A 25,467-nucleotide genomic window follows, 5' to 3' on the forward strand; every position below is an offset into this window, starting at 1 on the left:
CAGGCCCACTCATCCTTCAGCCGACTGGACTAGGCTCGTTCACATGTGGTGGCCACAGGTTGCCAAGAACAGCAGGTGAGAACAAGCCCCAGTGCACAAGCACTTTTCAAGTTTCTACTTGCCTTATGTTTGTTAATATCCCATCAGATAAAGCCAGAGTCTGTGTGGGAGGAGCTCCAGATTTTTACAATCTACTCACATTGGGTTTTCTGCTATTTGAAGCTGAATACATTCCCAGCTGACCCAGAAGAAAGTTACCTTGATTCCCAATGACTTTCTGATTCCCAGTTCCCTTCCTTGTGAAGGCCAGTTCCAGTACCTGCCCTTGGGTTCCACTAGGACCCTTTGTATCACTCAAGATCCCTTGGTTGTAAACAACAGATACCTCCTGTGGCTAACTTAAACAGAAAGAGAGTTTACTGGGAGGAAATGAGGAAGGTCAGAGAATCAGTGGCTATGCAAAGCTGAAGAGTCAGGCTTGGACATCAGGAGCTGGCTTTTCTTCCCTATAGGTGCCCTCTTTTTGCTTTAGCTGGTTTGAGTTTCTGTTCATTGCAACCAAATGGGCATTTACTACGACGCTCTGCTACACAGCCCCCACCCACTACTGATTCTGAGAAGCTACCAGCAGTCTTTCCCCTGGGGGTTGCACCACAGTACAGTGAGGTACCTGTATACCCAAACCTCCCAATCTTCTTCTGATCTTTCAAGAAGCTAAGACACACAACTTCCTTCCGCCCTTGCCAGTGGGAGCCCATGTGGATCCTTGGATTCGTGACTTTGCAGATAAGGTGCCCTTCTCTTGAAACTTGGCAGCATCACCATCGCCTGCTGTTGTAGAAACCAAAGTCATGAAATGTCTGGAGGGAAAAAATAGCTTCCAGATCTGCATTCCAAAGTGTGCTCCTGGTAAGTGGAGTGGTTTCCAATTTTTTAGGGACTTAGGAATGAAGGCAATCCACTAAGGATGTGAGGAAACCTAAACCTAATAACGCTAATGCATGCCTCTTTGCCATGCTGAGGCCTCCTAAAGCAGGATGGAGGGCACCAGTGAGGCTATTTCAGCTCATCAGCTTGGCCTCATTTCCGTCAGGTGCACTGCTTGCATCCGTCTGCTCAGTGTCCCAGGTTATTTTGGGCCAATTCATGACCTTATGTGCCTGCTTTTGTTTTTAAACATTTTTCTTTGCCCATCTGTTGCCCAGGAATCCTTTTGCAATGCCTCCGTCCAGTTGGGGGAAGCATTAACAGGTCCTTGTTTTGAGTTTCCTGTCATCTTTAGCAAACTGTTTTCCTTTCTAAGACCCAAAAATATTGGAGGCAGAAACTTTATCTTCTGGCTAACTGTGGTCTTATCATCAGAGAGTATGGTTTGACAGTTAAACAACCAGCCTCCATCCATTCAGCCGGTAGACACTGGGGGCCTACTATGGGCCAGGCTCTGATGCTACCGTGTTAGTTAGACCTCATGGCCTTGACCTTTACTCCTTTTCAAATTCTGATCCACTGCTTTAACTGAAAAGGAAGTTGGAATCATTAATTTACTGGGTATGTTGCATAGGAGCACTTACTTTTTTTTAAAATTTTTTTATTATTATACTTTAAGTTTTAGGGTACATGTGCACAACGTGCAGGTTTGTTACATGTGTATATATGTGCCATGTTGGTGTGCTGCACCCAAGGAGCACTTACTTTTGACGTCCACATATCTTGTTGGCTACGTATGGGATTGCTGCTGGGCGTTCTTTAAAGACAGCGGCATGCAGCAATGACCCGCTTCCTGGGAGTTTCTTTGTACCTTTCATCAGTTGAAATATAATAGCTAATAATAGTAACTACTTTGTATAGAGTACTTCCTAGCCATGAGACACTATGCAAAGCGTGGTCCAGACAATATCCCACTTCATCCCCACCATGTCATTACTCCTGTTATACCTGTGAAAATGATGAGCCCAGACTAGGTAAGTAACTTGCCCAAGGTCACAGAGCAAGTGTTGGAGCCCAGACTTTATACCCACAACTGCTTAATATAGCACTTTCCTCAAGGAAGTCCAGGAACCAGCTGGTTGTCTACTAATGAATGAGGGCAGGATGACAGACTTTTTCTGTAAAGGGCCGAATAGTAAATCCTTTCTTCTGTAAAGGACTCTATTGACCATAGGTGTCTTATCACCACCACTCAACTCTAGCAGAGCAGCATGATATGTAAATGAATGAGCATGGCCATGTTTCAATAAAACTTTATTTATAAAAATAGGAAGTGGGCCACATTTGCCAACCCCTGTGTTAAACTGTCACCCAGAGTAGATTATTAGGATCTGCACAGCTGTTGCCTGCCGCATAACAACCTAGAAGCCAGATTATTGTCATCTTCATCATTGAGACATTCAATGTGCTTTTTCCTGTTCTCTCGATCAACATCAAAAGCAATCAACACAGACAGAAGATGCTGTGACCACATGTGGAGGGAGACTTCTCTCCACCACTAAGCAAACAATGAGCTCTGCAGCAGACACCAGCCAGGTGCCCGCCAATTCAATTCCATTGCTATCTATGTGGAGATAGCATCAGATCCCACAGGCTAGGGGCTCAGTCCCCAAGACTTGCCCACTTCAGACACCAGTCACAAGTCCAGGACTCTGGAACTTCTGACGGACAGGCTTCAAGTTGGGGTTCCCATGACCCTTCTGTGGATTTGATTAATTTGCTAGAGCAGCTCACAGAAGTCAGAGTAACACATTTACTGATTGGTTGTTTATAAAAGATATTATAAAGGATACAGGCCGGGCACTGTGGCTCACGCCTGTAATCTCAGCACTTTGGGAGGCTGAGGTGGGTGGATCACCTGAGGTCAGGAGTTCAAGACTAACCTGGCCAACATGGTGAAACCCCATCTCTACTAAAAATACAAAAATTAGCCAGGGATGGTGGCGGGTGCCTGTAATCCCAGCTACTCGGGAGGCTCAGGCAAGAGAATCTCTTGAACTCGGGAGGCGGAGGTTGCAGTGCGCCAAGATCGCGCACCACTGCATTCCAGCCTGGACGACAAGAGCAAGACTCCGTCTCAAAAAAAAATAAAATAAAATGAAGGATGCAGATAAAGGAATGCATAGGACAAGGTATGGGGGAAGGGGCAGAGCTTCCACACCCTCCCTGGCACACCACCCTCCAGGAACCTCCACCTGCTCAGCTGTCCGGAAGCTCCTGAACCCTGTCCTCTCAGGCCTGTTATGGAAACTTCATTGGATAAGCATGATTGGAGCATGGACAACTGTGTCAAAATGGGATTGGACAAAAAGAGATAAAAACCCAGCAAGGCCAGTCTGTTCAAATTCCTCTCGGCCTCTGTGCAGCATTCCTTCCTCCAGGGTAATACCGGCAGGACCCTCTCTGCAATGAGATTACACGCAGAATCAGATTAAAGTCCTGCTGTGGGCAGGTGAAAGGAGGGTAGAAGAATGTCAGGGAGGGAGATCGTGTTTACTGTAACAAGGGCCATGGGAGTTATAAGCCAGGAACCGTGAACAAAAAACAAAATATAGGCTTGGTGCAGTGGCTCACGCCTGTAACCTCAGTATTGAGGGAGGCCGAGGCAGGAGGATTGCCTAAACCCAGGAATTTGAGACCAGCCTGGGCAACATAATGAGACCCAGTCTCCATAAAAAAATTTGAAAAATTAGCCAGGTGGTGCATGCCTGTAGTTACAGCTACTCAGGAAGCTGAGGTGGGAGGATCGCTTGAAACTGGGATTTTGAGGCTGCAGTGAGCCGTATTCTTACCACTGCACTCCAGTCTGGGTGACAGAGTGAGACCTGTCCCCAAAACAACAATAACAAAAACTATATATATATAAAATATCACAATCACACTGCCTTTTGTCATCAGAGAGACGCACCTGCACACTAGGGAGCGTTGTCATTGGGTCTAAAAGACCTGCTTCTCCTGGACTGAGCCTCAAAAGACAACACCTTCATGGTACGTTCCTGTCCCTTAGGCATGCTGCTTTCATAGCCCCCCTGAGAATCACCTGCTTTCTTTAGTTAATACCTTAGGTCAACGAGGTGTGGTGGCTCACGCCTGTAATCCCCACACTTTGGGAGGCCGAGGCGGGCAGATCGCTTGAGCCCAGTTCGAGACCAGCCTGAGCAACATGGCGAAACTCCACCTCTACAAAAAAATACAAAAATGAACTGGATGTGTTGGTGCACACCTGTAGTCCCAGCTACTACTAAGGAGGCTGAGGTGGGAGGATCGCTTAAGCCTGGGAGGTTGAGACTGCAGTGAGCAGTGAGTATGCCACTGCACTCCAGCCTGGGTGACAGAGAGAGACCCCTGTCTCAAAAAACAAAACAAACAAACAAAAATACCTTAAGTCAGGTGTCCCTGGGCTAGGCACCATCCTATTTCTTCTGACTGGTTTTGCCTGTCTCTGCACTGGTCCATTATGTGTTGGTTTTACGACGTCCCTGTCTGTTTCCCAGGCTCCGGGGTATCCTCGCGGTGGCCACATGCAGTGTTTACCTGTACCTTCCATCTATTCCCTCTGCCTGTCTGCTAAGCAGAGAGCTGCTTAAATGACCTCTGGGCCACAGTGATGGCTGAGGACCAGCAGGTCACCCAGCCCCAACCCCTATCTGATGCCACTGATGCTGTCCTCAGGGAAAACAGGAGACAGACACTCGAGAGGCTTGTTTTTGAAGAGCTCCTGTTAACTTTTGTGTTAAGTCATGTGGGTGCACAGAGGTGTCACTTTAGCAGCTTCTCTTTCTTGGCAGTGACCTTGAGACCTAAAACTGGGTCACCGGATGCTCTGGAGGGGACACAGAAAACACCCAATCTGTCCCCAGCCCTCAGGCAGAGCAGGCCCTCATGCATTCATTCAACAGCTATTTCTACAGCACTCACCTCAGGCCAGGTATCCTGATGTGGGCACTGAGGATCCAAAGTTGAAGCAGACAGACAGGTCCCTTCCCCCAGGAGGTTGTGTTGGGAGTAACAGATATTTTATTAACACTTCGCTATGGAAAATAATTGCTGGGTCCCAACCAGAGCGGAGTTTAGCTGGAAGAGTGGTAGCCCCTCTCCATCAGTCACCTAGTATGGGGTCCAATAAATATCACACTTCAGAATGACTATTCCAGCTCTCACCTCCCTGTCCCCCAGCTTGCCTACAACCAGGAGAATTCCAGTGCCCAGTGCCCAGTGCCCAGTGCCCAGCACATTTAATAAGTCTGTCCGGATTGCCTGGCTGTTGCTGCACACCGCTTTCACAGAGTAGCTGTTGCAAGTTATAAAAATCGAAACCAGCTGCCCATATTATTCCCATCTTTGGAAGGGGCCCAGGAGAGCACTGTGGACACAGCATTGCTGGATTTTAAGGTGTCTCCCCCACATGCACACAAACACAAAAACACTTTTTGGGAGTTTAAAACAGAGCTAAGGCTAGGGCCTATCAGGGTGTTAAACTTGCACACCGAATTGCCTGTGGCTTAGAAGCAGAAAACACGCCCAGGTGGACACCTGCAGCTCACTTAAAGGATCAATCGTCTTGGTTTTCAAGTAGATTCATAGCGTCTAAGATAACCACAAAAAGAGAGCTGGAGGACCAGGCGCGGTGGCTCACGCCTGAAATCCCAGCACTTTGGGAGGCCAAGGCAGGTGGATCACGAGGTCAGGAGTTCAAGACCATCCTGGCTAACACGGTGAAACCCCGTCTCCACTAAAAATACAAAAAAATTAGCCAGGCGTGGTGCCAGATGCCTGTAGTCCCAGCTACTTGGGAGGCTGAGGCAGGAGAATGGCGTGAACCTGGGAGGTGGAGGTTGCAGTGAGCCGAGATCACGCCACTGCACTCCAGCCTGGGCGACAGAGCAAGACTCCATCTCCAAAAAAAAAAAAAAAAAAGCTGGATAAATAAGCTAGTTTCTAATAACCTGCAAATGGGTCTACCTGCAGGTGTCGACCCATCATCACTGGCTTTTTCTCCTGCCTCTTTGCCCCCACTCAGTGGTCCCATAAATGCCTGACATCAGCGCCTCTCCCCATGACACCTTTTGCATGGCTTCCAGATCTTGCAAGAGATAAGAAAGCCTCTGAGGCCAAATCAGGCTGTGATCCTGTGCTGCTCTCACTCCAATTGCCCCGGATGAATATTGGTGCTGCTCCTGAACTTCGATCTCTGTGCAGCATCCATCAAGGGTTTCCTGATGACTGTGGAGTGTTTGTAAGCTGGTATTTGTAAAGTGCTAAGGGAGCCCTGCATTTCATGAGCCAACTTCATCCCTGCCGTCTCCCGAATCCCTTCCTGTTTTCCCAGCATCTCCAGCTGGAGGGACCACACAGTTCTGTCAGGCTCCAGAACATCCCCAGTGCTATCTCCCCATCACCCAAGAGCTCTCCCCAACTCTTTCTCCCCTTCTTGTTTCTCCCCCTGTCCCTTTTTCAAAGTGCTGTTGTTTTTCTTACTATCACTTCACCCCTCCCCAAAAGACAGTTATACAAGGAGATGTGGGAGGAAGAGACGAAACACAAGTAATGATGACTGAGTCAGCCTGGCTCCCTTGCCACTGGAATATTGTCAGAATTGGCCGGCTCGCCCTTGCCTCTGTAAAAAGCCTTTGCCAAGGGTGTGATTTTTCCTGAAGATCATTCTTTCCACATGACCAAATGTTGTAGTGTGTCATCAGTCCAGACTGTTTCTTTCTGCCAGAATCTATGCTTGGGGCACAAAACTCGGGGTCATTCAAAAGTGATTTCCCCTAATCAAGAGGCAAGTGATATTTCCTGGAAGTTTCACCTCCATTCAGGGCTCATCAGCTTTCTCTGCTTTTCGTTCCATCACTGCTTCTTTGATTCCTGAAAAAGTGCTTTTCTTGGAGCCCAATGACCAATGACCAATGAAGAAAAAAACTTGGAGTAAAAGGCAGCCCCAGCGTCCATCTCTGGCCCAGGCCCAAGGCCTCTGAAATGGGGCCACAGTACTGGGCAGCTTGAGGTCTCACCCTGTGGTCACAGTCTCAGAGCTCTGCAAACCCCGAAAACCTGTGAGAAAAATCAACCCAAGAGGTGTTAAAAGGACTCACCCATCCGGGCAGCATTTCCCGAGCTCTGCCTGAGTTTAACAGTTGTAAGGCTCCGGCGTTCAGCAGCCCTCCTGCAAGATACTATAGGTAATGAGCAGGAATTCCACCACCCTCCCTCCTAAGAGCTGTGTCCACACAAAGCCAAATAGGTAACTGACCAGAGAGCTTACTACGCACAGGCAGTCCACATAATTCAAACCCCAACCCCAGTTTTTTCACATATATATGTAAGTTGTTTTGCAAGAAGGCAAAACCCTCACATTATCTCCTCACTGTGAAGTTTGCGCCCACGTCAAGCAGATGCAAACAATTTCATAAAACGGCAACCCAGTTTTATGCAGAACCATTGGAAATCATAAATTGGAGTAAATTGAGGCTCACTAGAGTCTTGAAAGTAATTAGCTGCTTTGTGAGGAAGACTAAGAATTCAACAAACTTAAGCATCTACAAACATCATCTGCAGACATCATCTTAAACATTTTAATCTGCATCCTGTCCCTAGTCCTTTGCATTCCTTAAATAACTATTTTACTTCTGTTGGGTCCTTCAGGGCTGCATACAGGAGATATGGAAGCCTGTCTTTTGCAAGTAGCTGGACCGAACTGCCCAAAACTAAGAGAAACTTAATTCTGAGATTTAAAACAAAAAAACCATTTTAGCTGAGCATCTTTATTGGACTCAAAAACAATTTCATAAACAAGTAAATGAGAACTTCACATTTTCTGAACCTTGAAGGTTTTTTCCTCAATTTCATTCTTTTAAAAATACCTTTTAAATTAATTCAGCAAGGTTCTTAAACACAGCAAATTGACAAATATCAACTGAGTGTCTGTTCTGTGCAAATCACTCTGTAACAGCTTGCTGGCTTTACATTCTCGAGGGCTCCCTGCCTCCAGAGCACCCTGGTTTTCGGCCCTGCACGCATCTTTTCTCTGCACCTTGGCTGGTTGGAGCAGTTTCAGTAGACAGGTCCTGATTGACCCAACATTTCAGAGAACATGCACAGAGCATAGTCCTCCTTCTAAATCAGGGATTCTCAAATTTCAGTGAGCAGAACTCCCCTGGGTGCTTGTTTACACGTAGATTCCTGGGTCCCACCCCAGAGATCAGTTTCGTCTGTCCAAATTGGAGCCTGAAAATCTGTATTATTAACCTAGGCCCCAGTGGTTCTGATGCTGGAGGTCCAGAGTTGTGCAGTTGTAAGGTGACAGCCCAGACCACAGAGATACTTATCTGAACTCTTTCCCCAGTCCTGTCCAGGAGCCGTTGGGGAGGACATCTCTCCTCTGGGGACCCCATCAAAATGGCGACATCATGATCTCCCTGTCAGTTTCCCTAAAGTACAGTCACAGGCGACAACACTGGCCCAGCAGCTATTGTGCCAAGTCATCCGTGTGATGGTGCGGGGCCTCGGGAGAGAGGACCACCAGCCCCTTCCCCTGTCCCTCACCCGCTGTCTCCAGGGGCCCTTTCAGGGGTGAAACCCAGTCCCATCTCCCTCGCAGCTGCTAGTCTGTCCTCTTCCAAGAGGCCATCGGCGCCCGCCACGGTTCACCCTAAACAGGGGTTTCTGCTCCCCAGGTCCGCCTCGGAACCCCTGCAACCCTCATTGAGAACGCCAGTGTTTAACAGCGAGTCGTTTCCATAGCAACCGACAGGGTGTCACAGACACAGGATTATGACTTCACGGCGTGGGGATTCCGGAGAAGGGGGTGGGGCGGCGCCCCCCCTCGCTTCCCCGCCCCCCGGCAAGCCCCGCTCCTCACCCAAGCCGCGGGGGAGGAGCCCTCTTCTTTCCCGCCCGGCCCCGGCCCCCAGCAGGACCCCTCCCGCTCAGCTGCTACAGTGGGCACGAAGAGGGGCATGGCTTTCGGCCGCGCTCCCCAGCCTCGCGGGGGGCAGACGACGGCGGGCGGGGCGCGCAGAGTACACTCGACCCCCGGCGGCCGGGAGCGATCACGCGCACGCCGCGCGGGCCCGGGGGCGGGGGCGGGGCGCGCGGTCCCCGCCAGGGCCCAAGTCCCACCTTCGGGGGCGGTGCCTGGCCCGGGGAGTGTCAGGAAGAGGAAGAGCGCGGCCGGCGGCGCTGCGCTGAGAGCAGGGGCCCGGCCAAGGCGAGTGCCGCGCGGGCCACCATGGCCACGGACGAGCTGGCCACCAAGCTGAGCCGGCGGCTGCAGATGGAGGGCGAGGGCGGCGGCGAGACCCCGGAGCAGCCCGGGCTGAACGGGGCAGCGGCGGCGGCGGCGGGGGCACCCGACGAGGCGGCCGAGGCGCTGGGCAGCGCGGACTGCGAGCTGAGCGCCAAGCTGCTGCGGCGCGCAGACCTCAACCAGGGCATCGGCGAGCCCCAGTCGCCCAGCCGCCGCGTCTTCAACCCCTACACCGAGTTCAAGGAGTTCTCCAGGAAGCAGATCAAGGACATGGAGAAGATGTTCAAGCAGTAAGTGCCCGCGCGACCCGGCCCCCCGCCCGCCCCGCGACCCGGTCTCGGGCCCCGAACCCCCCGATCCCCGGATCCCGCTCCGCCCCGGGAGCCTGCCGTCAGCCAAGCTTCCCCGAACCCAGACGCACCGGGGTTGGGGACCCGGCGGCCCCTTCCAGATCGAGACCCGGCATCTCACCGCGCACGTTAGTCTGGGGGACCCCCGGCCCCTGGCACGCGGCGGAGACTCGTATTTGTGCTGCCTCCGGTACACCATAGACGCGTCCACAGAGTGGGGGACCCCAGGCTTCCTTCCAGATAATCGCCAGGCCCCGCGAGCCCCACCCCCACCACCACACGTGTGGGTCCCGGGCCCTCCGCGCTGTTAGTGGGGCTTCTCCACCACCCCACACCGCACACACCGAGGCTGAGGACCCAGCGGCCTTCCTTCCCCGATCCCAGCTACTCGCGTTCCCCACCCCCACCCCAACACACGCTGGCCAAAGATACCCACCCCAGTGCCCCTCGACACCACATGCCAACCACATTCCCTCCCTTAAGGTCTTTTCGTTTCCTCTGCGATCTCAGGTCTCCCTCAAGGTGGGTTCTGGGCAGGGATCCCCCCAACTTCCTCTCCAGTTACTTAGCGTCTACCAGCAAACTGGGGGCAAAGACTTGCCCTTTCCATCCCCACCCACTCATTAGCCAGGACCCAAATCCTTCACTCACAAGTGGTCTCCTTAGGAAGGGACCCCTCGGCCCCTGTTGCCCCTCTGGTGTAAACCTCACTCCAGTCGTCCCTGTGGGCCGAGTCCCCTCCGGGTTTGGAAGGCCTCCCTCCCGCTCCTGCCCGCCCCACCCCCGTGCACCCAGCAGCTTGCAGTCACCGCTCCCCTGCTTCTGTCGCAAGGCCCCCCATCTCTCCTCCCCACTCCGTATATCCCCTTCCCTCCCCACAGGGACCCCCCATGTCCCACACCCACCCTGGTCAAAAGGGGCCCCTTCCTATGTGACTTGCCCTGTTACCCCCACCCCTACCCTTTATTCCATCAGATCCACACTGTGTGCCCTCACCAGGGTGGATGGGCACCCCCAGGCGTGTGGGCTCATCCCCCTGTCCCCCCACAAAAACAATCTTAATGTCTCTGTGGAGGGGCTAGGGAGAGAGGGCCCAGCTCCCTCCGGCCCATCCCTGGGTCCCACTCTGTTGGGTCTAAGATGCACAGCCACTCTCTCCCAGCCATGTGTGTGCCCAGGGGATGGGGAAGGTGCCAGTGCCCCTCCCTTTGGTAGCTTTCCCCACCTCCTGTTCCCTGTCCCCCTGCCCCTGGCTCCTGGAGAGGGAACAGCCTCGTTCCACGATCTGGGTGCTGGTCTGGAGTGGTTCTGGAAGGGGATAGAACTGGCCTGAGGCTGAGTCTTGGGGGTGAGCCAGGAGGTCTAGCCCCACCTGGCACAGGCAGCCCAGGGCTGAGGGAGGGATGCGGCAAGGCCGGCTCCCGCTTGGCTGGGCAGGAGGTGGGGGCAGACCAGGGGTGTCAGCCTCAGCCACATGCAGCTGTCAGTGCCCCAACATCAAGCCGGAAGCCCAGGAAGGGGCGTTTTGCAACTGCACTGTTTGAGAAAGGCTCTGACCCTACTCACCACAGCTTGCAGCAGCTTCTGCATTTGGCCCCAAGGCAGGGGGAAGGATTTCTGGTTCCCAGTTGCGGGTGGCTGAGGAGTCCCATACTTTCCCAAGGTCCTTCTGGGGGAAAATCAAGTCCTTGACCCCCGGCCCCTCTGAACCTCTTTGAGAAAGTCCCAGGGCCCAGAACCTCTTCAAGAAAGTCCCAGGGCGCCCACGTCCTTGGCTCCACGGTGTTTGGTTGGAGTTCTTCTAAAGTTTCTTCCCAGCAGAAGACTGGCGAGATTGGGAGAGCAGGATTTCCAGGATTCCTGGAAGAGTAACGTGAATGCTCCTGGGTGGGCAGACGCAGGGGTGGGTATGGATCACTGTCTGTCACTGCCCCCATCGGGCAGTGCAGAGCTGATTCAGACACCACGGAGATCCCTGTGCTGATAGTGCTGAGGCGCTCACCAGGTCCCTCAAACAGCCCTGTGACACAGAGCTCTTCGTCACCTTTGTGCAGACAAAGGGTGTTAAATAACTCGCCAAGACCACACAGCTAGAAAATGATAGAGCCAGGACTGAAACCCAGGTCTGTGACTCCAAATCCCGGGCTCTTCCCCTTCCGGGTTTCCCATCACAGACATCTACTTTCATGTTGGAAAACCTTCTCCAACACCCGCTTCCGTGTTCGTGGCGGATTGTCCATTCATGTCCCCAACCCCAGCCCCCGTCTCTCCTTTCCCCCAGAGCCTGCCTTCTCCTGGGCTTCCACAGCTTCCCTGCCACTGGCCACCAAAACAAAGATGGAGCTGTTCTGGGAGAACCCAGACACTTCAAATGAGCGGGACTTGGGAGGCTGCAGTGTGGTTGGAAGTGGCATGCAGCTGAGGGAACAGTCTGGAAGCTTCATTTGCGCAGCAAACTCACTTTTTTTTACATAGGCTGTTTCTGGTCTAGTTTGATGAGAGGTACTCTGAGGGCGACTGAGGGGAGCTGGACCCCTCCAAGCTACCCCTTGGCACCTGCACTTCTTGCCAGGGTTCTAGGAGGGCTGATGGGGCAGGCAGGGGCCAGGAAGCTGGACCTCTAGGGAAGCAAGTGCTGCCTGCCAGGGCCCGGGTGAGGGTGGAAAGCTGCAGATTGTGTATTCAAGGAAACAACGCTTCACTGTGCCAACCGAGCCCAACCCCGCCGCCAACAGACGGGCTCTCGTGGAAGACAAACCCCCGTTCTGCTTCCGCTGTCCGAGTGGGGCTGCAGCCTCCTGGGTCCAAGCAGGGTCCTAGGATCAAAGCCAGGGCATCAGAGCCAGGGCTCTGGGGAGAGCAGAGGGCAGAGAGGAGGGGAGCCTGCCCTCCTGGGAAGCCAGTCACTAGAGCAGGAGGCAGGAGACCATGAGGTCAGCAGGAGAATGGGAGCCAGCCTTTCCTTGGGGGCCAGGAGCGAGGAACCTGGGCTTCCATCCTAGTCTGCTTGTCCTCCCTGGGCCTCAGTCTACCCACCTGTAAAAGGGGCAGGCTATCCCTCATGACCCCCAAAGGTCCTTCAGCCCTGACCTGCGTATGTCTGAGGGGTCCTGAGCCCTTCTGGATATTGGAACTGCCTTCCAGGGCCTTCTGGTCCACCCCTCCGTGTTGATTCAGCAGGTACTTCCTGAGGCTGGAGATCGAGGGGGAAGAGAGGGGATGGGGGAAGATAGACAGACTGTCAGCCATCACTGGTCTCACACCTAGAGTCATTCAGGTTCCTCCTGAGAGAGACCTGAAGGGTTGACTCCAACCCCTCTCCCCATTTGACAGAAGAGGGAACCAAGACCCAGAAAGATGTGGCGGTGACTTGCTCGGGGTTACGGAGAGGTTCTCAGTGAGGCTGAAACCTTGTATGATGAGGAGAGTGGTCCCGGTGTCTCAGGGTGGGGCTCCGAGGACATGACACACTTAGAGTTCTGGGCCAGTGCCAGGCACAAGGAGGCTCTGCGTCTCCCTGGCCCTCGCAGCCAGGACTCTCCATCCCCGTCTCCGTGCGGCCTCAGGCTACGTCCAGCATCTCTGATCCCCCAGCTGCTCCCTCCCTCTCTTTGCTCCTCCAGGGCTGGCTCTGGAACCCTCCTGTCAGAGAGGCAAAGAGAATGGCCCTGGAGAGCCTCGGGAGTGCCCACCCCTGGGCTGACAACAGCCTAGCGGGGGCTCTGGAGGGTTTTGTAAGTTGAGACCTGCTGGAAAGGTAGGCAGCCGTGTAATTCTGAACCTGCCGTGGAATCTGAGGACGATGCCCTAGATCCCTGTCTCCCGCCTAGCACAGCCTTGCAGGCCCTGTCCCCACTGTCATCCCCAGCCACTTCATCTCAGGACACCTTACGTCAGAGAGGCAGGCTTTCCTTTCCTTCTGGCCAGCTCTTCCCTGCACAAGCTCTGGAAGCCTCCCGCCCTCTTCTCCACACCTCCACCTCCAGGGGACACACCTCTCCCAGGAGCCCTTCCTGGACGCAGTCAGCAGGGCCTCTGGAGTCTGCAGCCCTGGGTTTGAATACAGCTGTGGGCTGTGGAGCCCTTCTGAGCTTCTGTTCCTCACGCTGGAACAGCGGGGACAGGGGGACCCACGTTACAGGGTTGTTGTATGGCGCTTAGCCCAGTGCTTGGCACAGAGCAAGTCGTTACTAAATGACTGTCACCGCCATCCCCAGCTCAGCATACACCCTCTCCTGGGCCCCTCATAGGGCCCTGGCAGTGGTCATTGCGGCTGGCTCAGAGGCAGCTCCACAGTGCCCACTGGCTGCCTCCACTTAACCACCAGCGGAGCTTCCAGGTCTGCCAGGTTGTCGACAACCCTTTGCTTTGGGCCCTAGTGACAGGACGCAGGGTTAGAGCCCTCCTTCTCTCCTGCTGAACAGCCACTCTGATTGACAGCTACATATGGCTTTGATAAATAACAAAAAGGGAGAAATGAATTCATTATCACCTAGTTTCAGGGAAGGCAGGTGGCACAAAAAAGGGGAGAGCAAACAACAGCTCTGGAGGGTGCACAATGGGGATTCCCGTCTGCCACCACCCAGCTGGGTTGCTCCAGGCAAGGGACTCAGCATCTCTGAGCCTCAGTTTCCCCTGGGGCTCAAGAACCTACCTGGTAAAGTTCTGAGGATTAGGTATAAAAACACCCTGAGTCTTTGTGACGAGCCCATCATGGTGTCTGGGCTGTTTGCATGATAGATGATGTTTTTGAAAAATACAAGGTTCTCGTATGTGATCATTCTTCCAACAGATATTAAGTTTTTGCGCTACAAGATCCAGAGAATTAAATGAATCAAGTTCCTGCCCTCAAGAGGCTTATAGCCTTATATAGAACAAACATGTATAGAGGTTTGGGGATAGAGAGGATTGCACCCACAAGGCTAGCAATGGAAGGTTTTTTTCTTTATTTCTGCCATGATTACCGAAAGCTCTCATGAATGACACCATGCTGATGTTCTCTTTGTAGCCAGCCCCCTGCCTCTGTGCCCCCTCCTTGTTAAACAGAGCCACTAGTTCTAGCCATTCCTGGAGGAGCCTATGCATATTATTTAGAGAACTGAATTGAATTCTCACACCAGCACAATGAGATTGATACTGTCTTTGTTTTCCTTTTTTTTTTTTTTTTGAGATGGAGTCTCGCTCTGCCACCAAGGCTGAAGTACAGTGGCATGATCTTGGCTCACTGCAGCCTTCGTCTCCTGGGTTCAAGTGATTCTCCTGCTTCAGCCTCCCAAGTAGCTGGGACTACAAGCACACACCACCATGCCTGGCTAATTTTTGTATTTTTGAGTAGAGACGGGATTTCACCATGTTGGCCAGGCTGGTCTCGAACTTCTGACCTCAAGTGATCTGCCCGCCTCAGCCTCCCAAAGTGCTGGGATTACAGACGAGAGCCACCGCTCCCAGCCTGATACTATCATTTTTATCCCCATTTGACAGATGAGAAGACTGAGGCTCAAGGCGATTGTCACTTGTCTAAGATTATATTAAGTGGCAGTGACAGGATTAGAACCAGATCCTCCTGCAAGGAGCCCCTGGAGGCCAAGTGAAGCCGTGTTTGTGGCTGGGGCTTGGGGGAGCCTCCGAGAGCCTTAGAGAGGTGGAGAGGTGGGGTCCTTCACCTGCAGCTTAGGGTCAGTGGGTGGGGAGAATGCCCTGCACCCCTGGGGAGGAAGGATTTCCTGGCCTCGGTCCTTACTCCGTTCCTCCCACTTCCACTATGCATCAGCCTCTGAGTCACCTCTCCTTCCCCACACCCCCGGCCCAGGACTTTTGGTTCCTCTTTGGTCCACCCTTCCTGCCTTCTCCGGCTTCCTCGCTCTCCTCCATGCTACCTGGGTCCAAGGCCTGGTGGCTTGGACTGGCTTCCACTGTGAGAGTCTAGGCTCCAGGACAGCAGGCCTTGCTGCCTCAGGGGATGTCAGAGGTCGTTTCCTCAAGGCCAGCCCTGCCGGCAGAGGCAGAGTCACTTTGCAGCCTCAGCAGGGAAGGTCCCCACACCCTGGAGCAGCTGAGTTCCCCTGACTGCCGGGCAACCTTCTCCTTGGCTGACTTCTGCTTTTCAAGGACAACAGAGAGGCAGGGGTCAGTGCCAGAAAGGTGTGGCCAGATGGGAGCCGGGCCGCCCAGGGAGTCCTGAGCCACAGACACTTCAAACCAGATGCTTTGCCTCCCGTTCAGTCCTTTCTTATCCTGCAACATTATCCTCGCCCATTTCACAGTTAAGGAGGCTGGACTTTCAGAAGGGTTATGTGACTTGTCCAAAGTCACATAGCCAGTGAGGGGCAGAATAGGATTTGAACCTGGGCCTCCCCGGCTCCAAGTCCTCTGAACCCTTACAGTGGCCCAAACACCAGCAGCTTCACCGCCCGGGAGTATGTTAGAAATGCAGATGCTCAGATTCCACCCCAGATTTACCAGACTGTAATCTGCAATTTTTTTTTTTAAGAGACAGAGTCTTGCTCTGTCACTCAGACCAAGTGCAGTGGTACGATCATAGCTCACTGCAGCCTCAACTTCCTGGGCTTAAGTGATCCTCCCACCTCAGCCTCCTGAGTAGCTGGGACTACAGGCACATGCCACCACATCCAGCTAATTTTTTTTTATTTTTGTAGAGATGGGGTCTCATTATGTTGCTCAGACTGGTCTCAAACTCCTGGCCCCAAGCCACCCTCCCACCTCATCCTCCCAAAGTGCAGGGATTACAGGCATGAGCCACCACGCCCAGCCCATAATCCGCACTGTAACCAGCTTCACCAGGTGTGCACACTGACGTTTAAGAAGCGCTAAGCCTCGGCTCAGGCCCCCGCACAGCCGTCTCCCCACCACTTCCTGAGGTTGACCTAAGGTTATCCTTAGGTGGGTGACTTTGTCTGAGCTGTAAGAGGATAAGATGTATGGAGTAAAGATTAAGTTACGTTATAAACACTGGGTTATGTTAATATTAGGCATTCAATAAATATTCTTTATAATCACTATCATAACAATAATGACTATGAAGAGCAAGAAGCGAAAGGGGGTGGCTGGCAGGGAGTGCCGTGGGTGCGGTGTGAGGTTGTTGAACTCCAGGTTAGGATGCCTTTGAGCCCTGACAGCCCCCCAGCAAATTGCTTGGGGTCTCCCTCTTTATCCTCCGTGGGGGAGCCCCAAGCGCCACACTTATGTGCTCTCTATCTCTCCGTCTCTCTCTCTCTCTCTTTCTCCCCCAACCCCATACCCCACTTAGCTGAACTAGGGCAAGAGATCAAGTGTGAGATTCCCAGATAGGACTAGAGGAAGTGGTGAGCGCTGGGCTTTCCCTATATGAGTCAGGCAGTCTGGGGGTGGGGACATGCAGGAACTGGGGAAGCCAGGGGGGCCTGAGGGCTCCTGAGCCCATACCCAACACCCACCCTGTCCAATTGTCTGTTCTCCTGGGACCTGCACGCCCAGAGCGGCCATCAGTAAAGCCTGGGATGGGAGTCAGGAGAGACAGAATTGGGGTCCCTGTGCTCCCACCTTCCCGTGTGCAGTTTTTGCAATGACTCTGCTTCCTTCTGCCATCAGACTGTGCAGTGCAGCTTGGGGGCACCTGCACGAGGAGCAACTTTCTTTCTTTTTCTTTTTTTTTTTTTTTTTTTTTTTTTTGAGACAGAGTCTTGCTCTGTCACCCAGGCTGGAGTGCAGTGGCACAATCTTGGCTCACTGCAGCCTCCGCCTCCCGGGTTCAAACAATTCTTCTGCCTCAGCCTCCCTAGTAGCTGGGATTACAGGCATGCACCACCACACCCAGTTAATTTTTGTATTCTTAGTAGAGACAGGGTTTCACCATGTTGGCCAAGCTGGTCTCAAACTCCTGGCCTCAAGTGATCTGCCCGCCTCGGCCTCCCAAAGTGCTGAGATTACAGGCGTGAGCCACTGCACCTGGTCGAGGAGCAACTTTTTTTTTTTTTTTTTTTTTTTTGAGATGGAGTCTCGCTCTGTCACCCAGGCTGGAGTGCAGTGGCGCGATCTCGGCTCACTGCAAGCTCCGCCTCCTGGGTTCACGCCATTCTCCTGCCTCAGCCTCCCGAGTAGCTGGGACTACAGGCGCCCACCATCACGCCCGGCTAATTTTTTGTATTTTTAGTAGAGACGGGGTTTCACCGTGTTAGCCAGGATGGTCTCAATCTCCTGACCTTGTGATCCGCCCGCCTTGGCCTCCCAAAGTGCTGGGATTACAGGCGGGAGCCACGGCACCCGGCCGCAACTTTCTAATAGTTCCAAAGCCAAGATAGGCCCCCCCTTAAGTAAGCAATGAGCTTCCTGTCCTCAGAGGTATTCAAGGCACTAAACAACGAACTGCATCAGGAATCTGATTTTCAGGAACGACTGAATAAGATGGCCTCTAATATCCCTCCCAACCCCGAAGTTCTCTGCTGTGTCCTGATAGGCATCAGGGCATAGCATAGTCGTTAAGAGTGCATGTGTTTGATCAGGCCTGGTTCAGAGCCCAGCGACACCCTTGTCACCTATGACCTGGGCTAAGTCGCTTCCCCTCTGAGCCTCAGTCTCCTTGTCGGTTCATGTTCATGCCGCTTCATAGGCTTCTTGTGAGAATCTGATGCAAAACACCTGGCATCGTGCCTGGCACATAGCAAGTGCTCAGCAGAGTAGCCAGGAATGATGATAGATTATGACGTGGGGCTCACCTGGGTGCAAGGCTGGGACATCTGCACTGTGCATGGTTGACGCCTCCACTGCCTACCCCTGTGACTCCCTAGTTATCAGAACTGGGGAGAGGGGCAGGGGCAGGGAAGCAACCAGCTGGGGACCATGCTCACCCCAAAGGGAAAGGGTCGTCCTTGGGGGGTAACTGGCTGCTCCGCTTTCGAGAGGGGGATGGATGGGGATTTTGTCCCCAGCATCCAGGGTGCAGCTAGCTGCTGAGCCCTCCCTGACGAGAACTATTCAAGGGGAGGCAGATAGGAATGCGGGCACGGTGCCAGGCCCCGCAGCCTCCCTCCGGTGCTGGAGAAAAGTGCTGAGCTCCCAGGCTGGGCGCTTTCTGCCAGTACTGCCGAATGGCATTGGCCTTCCCAAACAGGCACCAAGCTGGGCTCTCAGTCCAGCCTCCACTGGCCCTGCAAGCTTGAGAATGTGGGACCCTCCATGGGACCAGGAAAAAGAGAGGGGCCAGGGAGGAGAAAAACTTCCAGCTGTTGGAATCCTGCAGTCTGCTGGCTGTGTGACCCTGGGCCAGTCACTGCCCACTGTGGGCCCCAGTTTCCCTACATAATGTAAAACGGGTAGACCAGGCTATCTGGGTGGATCTTGCGGGCTGATCTCTCTTTTTCTGGATCCTCTAAGCCAGCTGCAACCTCAGTTCCAGCTCAGGGAGAAGGGCTGGTGGGTGAGAGGCCCTCTAGCCCAGGAGATGCCTGTTTCCAGCCATCGTGGAACCTCGTTCTCTCCTGTGCTGCCAGTTGTCCCACACACACATTGGCACCATGAGAGTAGCCCCTTCCTCACTTTTCTCCAACCCCGAGGGAAGGTTCCTCGCTCCCTGAGGCTCCTCTCTCCCTGTTCAAGGGCTCTGTCCAGCGGTCTTCTGTCTTCCTACCTCCCAGAGATGCTGGGGCTTTGCGTCGGGCCTAGTAGGGGAAAAGTGGGCCTTTAGAGGAGAGGTCATGCTGGAGGGATCCCCTGGGTCATCATGTCCACCCCTGCCTCCAGGCCAAGCCACCACAAGCCCTGCCTCCCAACCCTGTACCACCAGTCAGGACTGGAGCCTGTGGCAGAAGCCAGTGTGTTTTTTATCATTATTTCTAATATCATCACCCTTTTTATATTGTATATGTGAAGTATATGATGTGCATATGTGACACACACAAACTTCTCAATATAACAACTACTATTACGATGATGATGAAATTAACAGGTTTGAAGGACTCACTATGTGCCAGGCATTTTATATCTGTCAGCTCATTTTCATTTTCTTTTTTGTGTTTGTTTGTCTTTTAAACAAGGTCTCACTCTGTTGCCCAGGCTGAAGAGCAGTGGCTCGATCAGGGCTCACTGCAGCCTCAACCTCCCGGGCTAAAGTGATCCTCCCACCACAGCCTCCCTAGTAGCTGGGACCAGAGGCATACACCACCACGCCCAGCTAATTATTTATTTATTTATTTATTTATTTTTTGAGACAGTGTCTCACTTTGTCACCCAGGCTGGAGTGCAGTGGCATGATCTCAGCTCACTGCAACCTCCATCTCCTGGGTTCAAGCAATTCTCCTGACTCAGCTTCCTGAGTAGCTGGAATTACAGGTGCGTGCCACCATGCCTGGCTAATTTCTACACTTTTAGTAGAGACGGAGTTTTACCATGTTGGTCAGGCTGGTCTCGAACTCCTGACCTCGTGATCCGCCTGCCTCAGCCTCCCAAAATGCTGGGATTACAGGCATGAGCCACCGCACCTGGCCCTTTATTTTTTTATAGAGATGTGGTCTCCCTATCTTGCCCAAGCTGGTCTGAAACTCCTGGGCTCAAGTGATCCTCAGCCTCCCAAAGTGCTGGCATTATAGACATGAGCCACCACGTCCAGCCTCATTTACTCTTTAATAATCTTAAAGGTAGATGTTAGGAATAATAATAACTGGTTTTTAGTATCATAGTAGGCATGTATGAAGTGCTTCCTGTGGACCAGGCTCTGTGCCAAGAGTCTGCTTGTATCGTCTCTTTTAATCCTTGCCTCCATCCTGAGATGAGTTCTTTGATCTCCATGATGTAGATGAGGAAATTGAGGTCTGTGGGGTTAGGTGACTTGACCAGGTCACTCTGCCAGCAGGTGGCAGAGCTGGGGTTTGGACCCAGGTCAGTCTCAGCGGAGTTGATGTAACCACAAACCCTCAAGGCCATCTTCAATCAGGTTGACCCTGGAACCTGGCTGATCCCCTGCACTAGACCACATCAGAGCCCAGGGCACAGGGCAGATGGCCACTCTCCAGGAGTCTCTTGGGAATGGCCTCCTCCACGGCTACCTCTGGGGGCTTCACCGCCCACCCCAGCACCTGGCCTCTCGCAGCCCCCGTCACCTCCTCTTGGTGATGGACTCTTTGGCACCGCAGCCAGCCCCTGTATTGTCCCCCTGGGGGCCAGAGCCTGCCCTGGATGGAGCCCAGCCCCAGTAATTGATTGGCCTTTGATTGATAGAGGCGGCCGTTCAAATCATGGTTTGAGCCACAGCCCAGCCAGGCCTGGGAGCTGCCAAAGACAGAGGGATCCACAGCCCACGTTTCCATCCAAGTTTGGACACTTTATCTGCACTTCCTCTGAAACTGAGCTGCCCCTGGCTGCAGAAGAAACCCATGCACTTGAGCAATAAATAAAGCTGGGGCTCAGGGAGAGACACGTGGGACCCAGGGGCTGGGGCGTGAACCCCTGACCTGCTGGTTATGGGACCTGTGGCCTCACCAACAGCCCTCCTGACCTAATCCGGACCTGGAGGATTGCTGAGCACAGGGATTGTAAAGAGAAAGTGCTGGTGCGTTGGGAGTTTAGTGACGGTGATTCAATCTTGTTTTAGCGGTGGTGACTGCCATTTATGCAGCTAGCTCTGTGCGCTGGGAGCTGTGCTGAGTGCTTGACAGGGATGGGCTCAGTCGTTCCTCACAGTGGCCCATGAGAGAGGCCCCATTGCAGCAGGGTTCTCAGCCTCAGCTCCACTGGCACTTGGGGCCAGGTCATTCCATTTTTTTTTTTTTTTTTTTTTTTTTGAGACAGAGTCTTGCTTTGTCGCCCAGGCTGGAGTGCAGTGGTGCCATCTCAGCTCATTGCAACCTCCACCTCCTGTGTTTAAGTGATTCTCCTGCCTCAGCCTCCCAAGTAGCAGGGATTACAGGTGCCTGCCACCATGCCCAGCTAATTTGTGTATTTTTAATAGAGACAGGGTTTCACCATGTTGGCCAGGATGGTCTTGATCTCCTGACCTCATGATCTGCCTGCCTCAGCCTCCCAAAGCGCTGGGATTATAGGCGTGAGCCACCGTGCCCAGCTGGCCAGGTCATTCTTTGCGGTGGGGCCACCCTATGCGCTATAGGAGCTTCCCTGGCCTCCACCCACCAGATGCCACTGGCATCCCCCCCACCTCCGCCGCCCCAGGTATGACAACCAAAAACACCTCTAGACATTGCCAGATGTCTCCTGGGGGGCACATGCACCCCAGCTTAAGAGATGCTGCATTTTGGCCAGGTGCGGTGGCTCACACCTGTAATCTCAGCACTTTGGGAGGCCGAGGCGGACGGATCATGAGGTCAGGAGATCGAAACCATCCTGGCTAACACGGTGAAACCCCATCTCTACTAAAAATACAAAAAATTAGCCGAGCGTGGTGGCGGGCACCTGTAGTCGCAGCTACTCAGGAGGCTGAGGCAGGAGAATGGAGTGAACCCAGGAGGCAGAGCTTGCAGTGAGCCAAGATTGCGCCACTGCACTCCAGCCTGGGCGACAGAGCGAGACTCCGTCTCAAAAAAATAAAAATAAAAAGAGATGCTGCATTTTGTGGCTGAGGAGCCCAGGCAATTTGGCTTCAGAGCCTGACTGTCATCGCTGACCTTGGGAGCCCAGGGTCAGAAAGCGGCAGGGCTTTGCTTTCCTGGGGGGCACTGAGGAGGGGAGTCCTCGTGACTTGGCTCAGGAAAGACTGAGTCCCTCACCAGGTGCTCCTGCACAGCCCCACGGTCATGTGGCGCCCGCCCAGCCCTCTACCAGGCAGCAAACAGGGACCAGAGATGGCAGGAGGCGCCTCCGCTGTGCCCCCCAGAACCCCTCCAGCTCCAGGTGGAGGCTGGACCACAGCAGCTTTGGCCTGCCTGACCCTCTGAGTCCCACACCTTCTACTGTCACAGAGGTGGCCACTGCCCACAGGGGCTGCTGGCCCATCCACCTCCACCCCAACCCTCATCCATCAGTGGGGCAGAAGCCGCAGGACCCTGTGTTCCCTCCAGGGCTCCCAAGACCCATCTTTGCTGTGTCACTTTCAACCACTGACTCACTGGCTCGTGAACTATTTATACCCCTCGCACAAATGCTCCCCTTGTGCTCCAGGCAGCCGTCTGTGTTCTGCAGCAGCCCCAGGACACGTTGGGGAGGGGCTGGGTACAGAGCAAATGTGCAAGTTTATGAGCCCAGCAGATCAAGTCTGGAAGCCCAGCTCCTTCCTTACTGCTGTGTGACTGTGGGTGGGTCACTTAACCTCTCTGAGCCTTGGTCATAAAATAAGGTTATTAGGAAAATTAAGTAAAGTAAGCAGTTCCCAGCATAAAGACAGATCTCAGTACATGGTTGCTATTAGGTGTTCAAAGTACACCTAACTAGAGAAGGCGAAAGGAGCTGGGGAGCCCGTAAGAAGGTGCAGAAATGAGACATATTCATGCAGAAGCTCAAGCGCCCGGGACATAGGGTTCTGGAACACATCCACCTGTGTTGCGCTGCTGTCACCAGCACTGTCACCCAGCCAGTTCAAGGCCTGGGGGACTGCACAAGCCTTCTTTAGGTGCAGAAAAACCCATTTTGGCTGGGCAAAGTGGTGCACGCCTGTAATTCCAGCACTCTGGGAGGCTGATGTAGGAGGATTGCTTGAGCCCAGGAGTTTGAGACCAGCCTGGGCAACATATTGACACCCCGTCTCTACAAAAAAAATACAAAACTTGGCCAGTCATGGTGGCATGCACCTGCAGTCCCAGCTACTTGGGAGGCTGAGGCGGGAGGATCGCTTGAGCCCAGGAGGTAGAGGCTGCAGTAAGCTGTGATCGCGCCTGGGTAACAGAGCAACACCCCGTCTCAAAAAGAAAAAAAAAAAAAAGAAAAACCCATGTTACCAACTCTGGGATCACTCTCCCCAGCCCCCATCTTGTCTTCCTCCTACGCTGTTCCCAGAGACCAGTAGGGCAGGTGTTTGGTTGATAAGAGAGCCCAGCTGGGCAAACAGCGCCTCGCCCTCTTTCACCAGGCTGTGTGCTCCAGGAACCAGTGGTGCCTTCCCAGCCAGGCAACAGGCAGAAAGGCCACCTAGACTCTTACTACACAGAAGCCAGTCAAGAGGGACTTGCCCCCAACCCCACCCCTGTCTCTGCCAGGTTGTTAGTGGTAGAAAAAAAGAGAACCTGAGAGTGCAGGGCAGAGGGGAGGCATCTCTATCGCCCGATGCTTGTTCCCGGCTTCCCCACCACCCCGCCAATCTCCGCCACTCCCTGCAGGCACTGCACCACACGTCCCTGAACACACCCAGGCTGCCTCCTGCCACCTGGCCCTGCCTCCTGCCCCCGTCCTGCTCTGTGCCCTCGACAAAGGCAGAGGCCCTGCCTTAGATACCCCTTCATTTATTCACGTCTTATTTCTTCATTACACATTTTTGAGCACCTACTGTGTGCTTTTTAACCTCCTTCCCAGTACCTAGGGCAAGCTGGGGGGCATGAAATAGACCCCCCAGTACAGAGGGTGCTGAGTAAGAAGAGTCATTTATCACATGGAAAGAGGCCGCCTTCCACACCCACGTCACATCCCCTATTCCAGTGCTTCTCAGCGGAGAATGCTTTTATCCTGCTGGGGACATTCGACAATGTCTGGGAGACATTTTTAGCTGTCACAACTCAGGAGGGATGCTACTATAAACATCCCACAATGCACAGGACAGCCCCTACGGCAAGGATTTGTTCTGTCCAGATTGTTTAAGGTCTGAGGTTGAGAAACCATGCCCTTGCCTGCAAGGTTCTGCCATCTAGGGTGGGGGTGAGATGTCCTCCAAGTGCCCATGGAGATGCCAGTAAGCCAGCTGGTCATGGAGGTGGTGAGTGAGTGCTCAGCTCAGAGCCTGATCCACCCTGCCGTGGTATTGAGAATTCCTTCTCGGCCAGGCACGGTGGCTCATGCCTGTAATCCCCATACTTTGGGAGGCCGAGGTGGGTGGATCACTTGAGGTCAGGAGTTCAAGACCAGCCTGGCCAGCATGGTGAAACACTGTCTCTACTAAAAACACAAAAATTAGCTGGGTGTGGTGGTGCATGCCTGTAGTCCCAGCTACTCAAGAGGCTGAGGCAGGAGAATCACTTGAACCCGGGAGGCGGAGGCTGCAGCGAGCCGAGATTGAGCCACTGCACTCGAGCCTGGGCAACGGAGCGAGACTCCATCTCAAAAAAAAAAAACCCAGAGAATTCCTTCTCACTGTCTGTGCCATCACATTCAGCACACGGAGCCTGTCATTTCAGCTTCCTTGTGCCTCAGGCTTGTCCAAAAGTTAGCGCTATTCGACATGCAGGAGGCTGCCAGGCCCTGTGGTGAGTTCCCCGTCATCAGAGGTAACCAAGCAGGAGCTGAGCCACATATGGGTCCTCTGCCTGGACTGAGGTCCCTTCCAACAGTGACGGGATTTTATGGTTGGTAGGAGATGCCCTCTGATCCCCCAGTCTCCTTGCACTCAAGCCTGCGGCCTCTCTGACTGAGCCAGTGCCAAGATGTCCTCTCTTTTTGCATCTGCAGGTATGATGCCGGGCGGGACGGCTTCATCGACCTGATGGAGCTAAAACTCATGATGGAGAAACTTGGGGCCCCTCAGACCCACCTGGGCCTGAAAAACATGATCAAGGAGGTGGATGAGGACTTTGACAGCAAGCTGAGCTTCCGGGAGGTAAGCCCGGCCCCCAGCCCCACTCCCCTACCAGGGGCTTCACCTGAGGACCTGGTGGCCCGGGAGAGACCAACCCCCACCCTTTGTCAATGAATGAATGACATTGCCATTGAACAGCAGCTGTGAGCAGCTGCTGCTTGGCTGAGTGAGGCTTCAGAGGGCCTGTTACAGCAGGCACCAGGGAGGGTTCTGAGATCCTCTCG

General features: G+C 53.5%; 2 protein-coding genes and 1 long non-coding RNA gene across 9 annotated transcripts in view, besides 9 other annotated features; 2 read left to right on the top strand and 1 right to left on the bottom strand.

The window, feature by feature from the left end:
- The window catches only part of FHAD1 (forkhead associated phosphopeptide binding domain 1), a 166,490-nt gene extending 164,234 nt beyond the window's left edge, over positions 1 to 2,256 (top strand). The window contains exon 35 of the mRNA XM_047443734.1: positions 1 to 2,256. The gene's annotated coding sequence lies outside the window, so the exon portion shown is untranslated.
- Positions 2,225 to 11,614, bottom strand: EFHD2-AS1 (EFHD2 antisense RNA 1). Of its 5 annotated transcripts, none has more exons than NR_183707.1 (5): positions 10,237 to 10,359; positions 7,083 to 7,153; positions 4,906 to 5,094; positions 4,048 to 4,167; positions 2,225 to 3,390 (listed from the first exon to the last, which is right to left on the bottom strand). It is a non-coding gene; the product is annotated as an EFHD2 antisense RNA 1 (long non-coding RNA). The 5 variants fall into 5 exon arrangements; NR_183709.1 differs by lacking the exons at positions 4,048 to 4,167; positions 10,237 to 10,359 and adding exons at positions 4,368 to 4,810; positions 8,849 to 9,064; NR_183705.1 differs by lacking the exons at positions 4,048 to 4,167; positions 10,237 to 10,359 and adding an exon at positions 11,152 to 11,614.
- Positions 8,782 to 9,381: a silencer, noted in NCBI's record as "silent region_301". NCBI's record gives its function as "represses an Ori minimal core promoter by ATAC-STARR-seq in GM12878 lymphoblastoid cells {active_cell/tissue: GM12878}" and the evidence as "EXISTENCE:reporter gene assay evidence [ECO:0000049][PMID:35858748]".
- Positions 8,782 to 9,756: a biological region, named in NCBI's record as "H3K27ac-H3K4me1 hESC enhancer GRCh37_chr1:15736144-15737006".
- Positions 8,894 to 9,756: an enhancer, noted in NCBI's record as "H3K27ac-H3K4me1 hESC enhancer chr1:15736144-15737006 (GRCh37/hg19 assembly coordinates)". NCBI's record gives its function as "activates a minimal SCP1, AML or CMV promoter by ChIP-STARR-seq in primed H9 embryonic stem cells {active_cell/tissue: H9 hESC(primed)}" and the evidence as "EXISTENCE:reporter gene assay evidence [ECO:0000049][PMID:30033119]".
- EFHD2 (EF-hand domain family member D2) overlaps positions 9,134 to 25,467 on the top strand; it is a 20,452-nt gene continuing 4,118 nt past the window's right edge. For all 3 annotated transcript variants that reach the window (NM_024329.6, XM_005246000.4, XM_047430233.1), the window contains exons 1-2: positions 9,134 to 9,525; positions 25,117 to 25,264. In NM_024329.6, the coding sequence (NP_077305.2) occupies positions 9,218 to 9,525; positions 25,117 to 25,264 (456 nt within the window). In that variant the 5' untranslated portion in view covers positions 9,134 to 9,217. The remainder of the gene's footprint in view (positions 9,526 to 25,116; positions 25,265 to 25,467) is intronic.
- Positions 10,996 to 11,045: a silencer, noted in NCBI's record as "silent region_302". NCBI's record gives its function as "represses an Ori minimal core promoter by ATAC-STARR-seq in GM12878 lymphoblastoid cells {active_cell/tissue: GM12878}" and the evidence as "EXISTENCE:reporter gene assay evidence [ECO:0000049][PMID:35858748]".
- Positions 15,553 to 16,052: an enhancer, noted in NCBI's record as "H3K4me1 hESC enhancer chr1:15742803-15743302 (GRCh37/hg19 assembly coordinates)". NCBI's record gives its function as "activates a minimal SCP1, AML or CMV promoter by ChIP-STARR-seq in naive H9 embryonic stem cells {active_cell/tissue: H9 hESC(naive)}" and the evidence as "EXISTENCE:reporter gene assay evidence [ECO:0000049][PMID:30033119]".
- Positions 15,801 to 15,890: an enhancer, noted in NCBI's record as "active region_237". NCBI's record gives its function as "activates an Ori minimal core promoter by ATAC-STARR-seq in GM12878 lymphoblastoid cells {active_cell/tissue: GM12878}" and the evidence as "EXISTENCE:reporter gene assay evidence [ECO:0000049][PMID:35858748]".
- Positions 16,259 to 16,553: a silencer, noted in NCBI's record as "tiled region #12140; HepG2 Repressive non-DNase unmatched - State 10:DNaseD, and K562 Repressive DNase matched - State 5:Enh". NCBI's record gives its function as "represses a minimal TATA promoter and a strong SV40 promoter by Sharpr-MPRA in HepG2 and K562 cells {active_cell/tissue: HepG2 | K562}" and the evidence as "EXISTENCE:reporter gene assay evidence [ECO:0000049][PMID:27701403]".
- Positions 17,441 to 17,560: a silencer, noted in NCBI's record as "silent region_303". NCBI's record gives its function as "represses an Ori minimal core promoter by ATAC-STARR-seq in GM12878 lymphoblastoid cells {active_cell/tissue: GM12878}" and the evidence as "EXISTENCE:reporter gene assay evidence [ECO:0000049][PMID:35858748]".
- Positions 25,306 to 25,467: part of an enhancer, noted in NCBI's record as "H3K4me1 hESC enhancer chr1:15752556-15753456 (GRCh37/hg19 assembly coordinates)", that runs on past the window's edge. NCBI's record gives its function as "activates a minimal SCP1, AML or CMV promoter by ChIP-STARR-seq in naive H9 embryonic stem cells {active_cell/tissue: H9 hESC(naive)}" and the evidence as "EXISTENCE:reporter gene assay evidence [ECO:0000049][PMID:30033119]".

This window comes from Homo sapiens, chromosome 1 (genome assembly GCF_000001405.40).
Source record: "Homo sapiens chromosome 1, GRCh38.p14 Primary Assembly".
Taxonomy (NCBI): domain Eukaryota; kingdom Metazoa; phylum Chordata; class Mammalia; order Primates; family Hominidae; genus Homo; species Homo sapiens.